This window comes from Homo sapiens, chromosome 3 (genome assembly GCF_000001405.40).
Source record: "Homo sapiens chromosome 3, GRCh38.p14 Primary Assembly".
NCBI lineage: Eukaryota > Metazoa > Chordata > Mammalia > Primates > Hominidae > Homo > Homo sapiens.
The window spans coordinates 78,315,987-78,323,799 of NC_000003.12; the positions used below are offsets into that span (position 1 = coordinate 78,315,987).

Below are 7,813 nucleotides of genomic sequence, written 5' to 3' on the forward strand. Positions count from 1 at the left end.
ACAATGATCATTCTTCCTACCTCGAATCCACTGAAAGTTTTGTTTCTTTTTTTGTGGGTTTCAGATGAATTTGGAGCACTGAAATACCTTGTTTCTCTCTGGACTGACATATACTTTATTCTACAGAACAAACTCCTCCTGATGATAACATGGTATGAACTCTCTTACTATGATCAGCATCACAGAACTGAAATACCTTGTTTCTCTCTGGACTGACATATACTTTATTCTACAGAATAAACTCCTCCTGATAACAACATTGTGTGAACTCTCTTACTATGATCAGCATCACAGAATCTATAACTTCTGTAGTGGTAAACTTTAATTCACCATTTTAAAAGATGCACTAAAGATTTAATGGTTAACATTTACTTAAAAAGTAATTCATTTATAGCATATTAATAAACTCTCTGATAGGGTATTAGTCAATTTTCATACTGCTATGAAGAAATACCCAAGACTGGGTGATTCATAAAGAAAAAGAAGTTTAATGGATTCACAGTTCTACATGGCTGAGGGGACCTCACAATCATGACAGCAAGCAAAGCAGGAGCAAAGGCACATCTTACATGGTGGCAGGTAAGAGAGCATGTGCAGAGGAACTACCCTTTATAAAACCATCAGATCTCATGAGACTTATTCACTATCCTGAGACCAGCATGGGAAAAATCCACCTCTGTGATTAAATTACCTTCCACTGGGTCCTTCCCATGACATGTGGGGATTATGGGAGCTACAATTCAAGATGAGATTTGGGTGGGGACACAGCCAACCCAGATAGATATTACTCTTTTTCATGCACCTAAAATAGGTTTTAATTTTTTTAAATTTAAGAATATTAAGAATAACCTTGTAGCCCTAAAGTTTCACTAGTGAGGAACTCAAATAAATTACAGTTTATACTTACCTACCTGCCTCATCCTTTTAAAGTAGTTCCAAAGTATCTTAATAATGAAACAAGTATGTCCAGATCATCTACCCTGTTCCTAAAAGGAAAATAGTGGACAAGCAAATGAGCAAAAATAGCAAAAGTTTAAGAAAGATCATTGCATGCAGTCCCAATTACCTAGTCCCAAGACATTGCAAAGTCACATTGAATGAAAATGGATGAACTATACTTTTGGAAACCTACATCAACTATTGCCACATCTGAAAATTTACCCATTGCATCAGTTTTACAGATTTAAATTTGTCACAACAGCAACAAAATCAAAAACAACAAAATAGAACTATGTATCTTTGACTTTAATCCTGATATTACTAAATGTATTCACAGAAACAGTCTGTCTATTCTGCTGTTTGCTTGTTATTGGCAGGTTTTTCCACCTAATTTTCTGTTAATTTCAAGCTTAAAAGCAAGCAATTTCTTTGGCCTGAGAACCCCCGCACAAGTAAAATGAAAAACGGTGCAGGAATACAAAGGATTTACTTAACAAGAGTCTAATGAAATCTGATAAACCTTTCTAGGAATTTCAGGATAATTTTCTCATTAATTAAGATCAAATATAGAAACACGTGCCAAGGGATTTCAAATGTTATGTTAATAAGAGCATGGAATTTTCTGATGTCTCCCTAGATAAGAAAAATAAGGTTATAGTGTAGAGATTTTCTTTCTTTAAATGCCATCAAATGCAACCTTGGGTGCATGAATGAATGAAAGGTATAAACAACTGAATGAAGTTTATACTTAGAACAAGAAAAGTGTTTAATTATTTTAAAATGCTTTTTGAAATATCAAATGTCATATCAGAGCTGAATAAAATTATTTTCCCCTAAGCCTATTTTCTAAAAGATATGTATCAGACATTTTATATTGTATCTAAAAGCTTTTCTTATATAAAAATATTATAAAATGTCTGTAGAGAATGGAGCCCTAACATGTTGGTGATCTCATTTTTAACTGTATAATTTATACATTGGGAATTTGACAGGAAGAAAAATCTTTCAGTGTTGTAGTAGAACATCATTTTGAATGTCAAAAAATTCTCAGAGGACTTGGTAACAAGAGCCATTCAGTACAAAAAAAAGAAGATACTTGTCTAGGAGATTTCTGTCAGAATTAACTTAAAATACTCACATACTCTGGTATTACTACCTCGCATCCAGATGTTTCAACAGAATCTTTTACTTCTAAACAACCTCAACAGGAGATGAACATTGTGCCAATAAATATCTAAGGTCTGAAATAATCACTCTTAGCTGGCTAAATCAATACAATAAAGAGAACTATTAGTTCAAATGAGGGAAGGAAAAACAGGGATTGTATGAAATACTGTAGGAATTTGCAAGCTAGTAGTAATCTAAATATCATAAATAAGGATCAACCAAGTGAACTGATTATTGAACTCATTTATTACAAAATGGGCAGCTTAGTTTTAGACAATACTTTAATCATCAATCCACAGCCTATGCAAATCTTACTTCTAACTTATAAATGAATACATGATATAAATATATTTTTCTCCAAAATACTGTAATGAGAATTCACATCCTCTTCTCATTAAAAATTATTAAAATATATCTTATGTACTTGACATATTTGGTAATGCTTTATGTAGAAGTAGCTGAGACCCACCTGCTTTTCTTATAATTTAGGGAAGAAAGTTCAAAATTAACAGAGGATATTTTTAATTGAATGAAAAGAGAGAACATTTCAGTATACAATGATGAAATGATAGACATAGCAAGGCCTGCTTGTTTAGATTCCTGTTGTGTCCTGAGTCTTTAAAGATAAGGATGCTCTGTTCTCCCAGGTAGAGGGAAAGCACTTATCACATTAGGGTGTGATGACCTGGTTCAGGAGAAGCTCAGAAATTTCTTCCTAGGTTCTATGACCTGGTTCAGTGGAAAAGGGTTGGAGAAGGTCAGAGATTTTCCTGCACAGGATGATTTTCAGATTTCTTCATTTTAAATATTCAATATGCCAAGGTGCCACATTTTGAGATAGCATGTCCTGAACAGCATCAATGTCTATTAAATTCATCATAATGATAACTACAATTAAGTATCTACTACAGAAGACACAGTAGGCTAAGCACTTTAAATATACTTTAATCCACACAATACAGAACATTTCGTATTAAACCAATTGTAGAGACGTACAGAGCAAGTTGTGGAAGTGATAAAACAACACTTTATCCCAGTTAAATAGAAGGCATTAAAGCAGGGATTGTAACCAACACTCTCTGACTCCAAATCCCAAGTTCTTTTCACATTATGCTGCTTCTCACAATTACTTATTCCACAAATATTTATGGCTTCTCTAGTGCGAATCAGACATTGTGTTAGGTGCCAGGTACTACGCTACGTGCTAAAATCTTGATATGGTCTGGCTCTGTGTCCCCACTCAAATCTCATCTTGAATTGTAATCTGAATTGTAATCCCCATGTGTAGGGAAAGGGATGTCTTGGGAGGTAATTAGATCATGGAGGCAGTTCCCCCATGCTGTTCTCATAATAGTGGGTGAGTTCTCATGAGATCTGATTGTTTCATAAGGGGTTTTTCTCCACTTCACTCTGCACTTCTCACTCCTGCCAACTTGTGAAGAAGGATGTGTTTGCTTTTTCTTCCACCATGATTGGAAGTTTCCTGAGGTCTCCCCAGTCATGTGGAACTGTGAGTCAATTAAAACTCTTTTCGTTATGAATTATGCATTCTCAGTATTTCTTCATAGCAGTGTGAGAACAGACTAATATAAAGCTGAAGAGGCGGAATGTATGCAAAATAGTATACACTTTATCATGAGACAAATTTGAATTTAAATCCAGATCTGCTCTTTGGCCACTCACTATATGACCATAGGCTGATTATGTACTTCTTGCAGTCTTGGTTTCTCCTCTATAAAATGGAAATGGCAGCAGGATCTTTTTCATTTGTTGCTATAAAGATTATTTTTATGAGCATCAAGTACCTAGCACAGTGCCAGGCACATAGTATACAGACACAAAGCAATATCTGTTATTATTGGTACTTCATAGAATTTTTCTGAAGATTAAATGAGTTAACATCAATTTCTTAGCACATCAAATATATTAGTTTTAACCTTTACCACGTACTAGAGAAAGACATAGTGCATACCTCTTGGGCCAAATAATTCTGGTTTTCTGTGATGTTGAAACCCACAGATAATTAACAGGAAATTATAGACGTAGCCTAATGAAAACATAGTTATTATTGACTAAACTGCTTATGAATCCAGTCTGGGTTTTGTGGGTTATATGGCAATAAATAAGCAAAATCGTCACCAGCAAGAGGTCCTTCTGCTCAAGAAAAAAATAGTTCTTGCTTTTTTGTCTAATATGTCAAAACCAGAAAGACCAAGTTTACTATCTTTGGATTTTGTAAATGATAAATATTTATTGAATGGATGTATGATTCTTCCTTCAAGATCTTTCTCCCTCTCTCTCTTTTTCTGTGTGTGTGTGTGTGTGTGTGTGTGTGTGTGTGTGACCAAATTAGTCTAACTCAAGAGGAAAACACATATAAGAGAAAGAGCAGATAAGGAAAAAGAATTGTGAAGATACCAAAATATGCTATCCCAAAATATGCCTCTTTGGCATCTGGAATATTTTGAGCTAAAGGCTATTGAAAAGCAGCAAACCTAGGAAAAGCTCCAAAAACAGGGCACAAGTTTTCTTTCTATAAAGAAAAGTCTTATTTGGAAAAGGTAGCTCTCTCTCCTGTACCAGAAACAGGAAGACTCTTAACAATTCTTATCAAAGGAGAAAGCACCAATGAAAATCTGCATAAAAATATTATTAAATGGCCCTTATTTAACATACTTTTTTAGTCACCTTTCCATAACTCGCCTCTTCCATATGAAGACCAAAACTCCTTTTCCTTTGTCTAGCCTAAGGTGGTATATAAGCCCAAGTTCTAACCACCCCTTGGGGTTTCTCCTCATTGAGTGCTCTCATGTGTATGTACAAGGCACATCTTACTAAACTTTGTTTGTTTTTCTCTTGTTAGTTTGTCTTTGGTCAGTCTAATTTTCAGAGTCCCAGCCAGAGAACCTAAGATGGATAAAGAAAAAAGATTGTTTTTCCTCCTTCAGAGTTGGATAGAAAAAAGCCACAGTTTGACCTTAGGAAAATTCTTGTCTCTTAACTTGTTGCAATCAGTAAAAGTTGTTTGGTTCTGGATGGTTGTGATCCCAAAGTAATGGAAAATCTCTGGCAAAGTGTTGGAAAAACAGAGTCTAAACCTGACTTTGCTGTATCTCTTCATTTCTGTGAGCCCCTTCTGTGAGAATAATAATAATGTCTAGCAAGTACTGAGCAATTACCATGTCAATCTCTTTATATCTATGTAATCATTTAATCCTGTAAACAATGAGATGGATACAGATGAGGGGCCATTGGTAGTGGGAATTTTTTTCAAACATTTTGTTTCAAAGCTAGTTTGCACTAGAATCTGGATTACAACCAAGAGATTCCAGCAGTAGAGTTTCATCCTCAACTGTAGGGGAGGAAATATTACTTCCTTCTGTGCTGCTGGGTTCTTTGGCTGGCCTAAAAATTAAATTGACATAAGACACATTAACAGGAGAAAAATAATTTTAATTATGTATGTATGCATACAAGTCCCACAAAAATATGGAACTCAAAGAAGCTGGATGATTCAGGCTTATATATTATCCTGAGCTATTGAAAGTAATAGGGGTTTGAGGGTAAGAGCGAGTAAGGAGGAAGGCCCAGTTAAGAAAGATGGTGAGTAAAAGCACCATAAAATAAACATAAAGTTTGTTATGCAAGTTTTTTTGTTTTTTTTTGTTTTTTTTTTTTGAGATGGAGTCTCGCTCTGTCGCCCAGGCTGGAGTGCAGTGGCGCGATCTCAGCTCACTGCAAGCTTCGCCTCCCAGGTTCACGCCATTCTCCTGCCTCAGCCTCCCGAGTAGCTGGGACTACAGATGCCTGCCACCACCCCCAGGTAATTTTTTTTGTTTTTTTAGTAGAGACGGGGTTTCACCGTGTTAGCCAGGATGGTCTCGATCTCCCGACCTTGTGATCTGCCCGCCTTGGCCTCCCAAAGTGCTGGGATTACAGGCATGAGCCACCATGCCTGGCCTGTTATGCAAGTTTTAAGTCCGTGATTGAGGGTCCATTCATTAAGTCTCTAGTGATTTAGTCATTTATTCCTGAAGCAGAGGCAGACACCCTTACAAAAGGATATTTCCTTTATAGATATAAATTTCTCTTACAGATGGGCAACGTCTCACAGATACTTCTGTATCTACAGTTTCTCAAAATAACCAACTCAAAATAATATGCAAAAGAGGTATATTTTTAGTTGGTGTGTCCTGAGTCTCAATACAACCAATACACTATGTGTAAAAATGAAAGAATCAGTCTAGGTGGGCTCAAGGACTCCCTTCCAACACCAGCATTCTTTGTGCTTATGTTGGGTATGAAAAAGATGACAACAAAATTGACTGCCTACAAGTATGGGAATTATTTTAGCTCACAAACATGACGCTTCACAAAAAACAAATTCTGTTTTTCAGATGTAACAAATAGGGATAGAATACTTAATTCTTAATAATAATTTTCATAGGATAACTTTTGTTTTACTTTCAAAGCAGAAATCAAACTCTTCTCCTAAGGGATATTCTTATCCTTCTAATAGAATTTTTATTGGTAAATGATTTCTCTTCCTACAGATCTTTTTCTTTATGTCAATATGATGTTTTTTTGTTATAGATTTAAAACATTGTGTTGTATTTTTTGTTTGTTCATTGTTTGTTAGCCCCTGGCAATATTTACAAGATTGAGAAAAAATACAGTCCCTAGCAGTGTGGCTTATCATCTCAAAGACAACACTAACACATGCATATTCCACACACAGACACACATACATACATCCTCCTCATAAATGACTCAATCCAGAGTTTCAGATGCTAAAGTCTAACAGTTGCCACCATTGACATTTTCAGCCAGGGAGGGGAGAGGGTGTCATTCTCTCTTTATTCATTTTCGCTTTTATTATGTAACTGTATAATGTGAGTGAAACCTGTATTTTAAAAGGAAAGAAAGGGGTAGCCTATTCACGCTCTCTAGGTGTATGCAAACCACTTGAAACCAATTAGGTGTCAACAGAATTGTTAATTATCCTGGGGTCACCAACTTTTGTGAAGCCTTTCAGAGTAAAGGGGAGGTGTGGTTTAGCACACAGCAGGTTCAAACAACCCTCTAATTGACAAATTTTATACTCAGCAGTTGGGTTGGCTGGAGAGGTTAAATCACAGTTACTCTCCTTCACAGGAGAACATGGATAGACCATTATGTTTAATATTCATTCATTTATGAAACAAAGATTTATTGATTTGCTGGTTTTAACTTTAGAGTTTGGCTACCAGTGGTTAATAATAGGTCACTGCCCTATGAATATTTCTTTCTGAGAGATACTCTCACTTTGCAATTTACAAATAACTAATTCAGAGAAACCGATTGTAGGATACATCAGAAAACTCTAAGTCTAGAGACTTCTAGAGCATAGGCTGCTTTGTTTCCTAATTCTGAACCTGAAAAGTCAAGGTGCTGTACATTTACTTAGGCTAAAGAATTAACAGTCTTCATAAGCACAGCCCCACACCCATAAAACACCAGCTTTCTCCATCTACATTTTTAATTCCAAGATTCCCATTCCCCTTTGAAGAAGCCACCATCACTGTCAGGCCTCTGAGCCCAAGCCAAGCCATCACATCCCCTGTGACTTGCACGTATACGCCCAGATGGCATGAAGTAACTGAAGAATTACAAAAGAAGTGAATATGCCCTGCCCCACCTTAACTGATGACATTCCACCACAAAAGAA

General features: G+C 36.0%; 1 annotated feature.

Moving 5' to 3' along the window:
* Positions 6,727 to 7,517: an enhancer, noted in NCBI's record as "OCT4-NANOG hESC enhancer chr3:78371863-78372653 (GRCh37/hg19 assembly coordinates)". NCBI's record gives its function as "activates a minimal SCP1, AML or CMV promoter by ChIP-STARR-seq in primed H9 embryonic stem cells {active_cell/tissue: H9 hESC(primed)}" and the evidence as "EXISTENCE:reporter gene assay evidence [ECO:0000049][PMID:30033119]".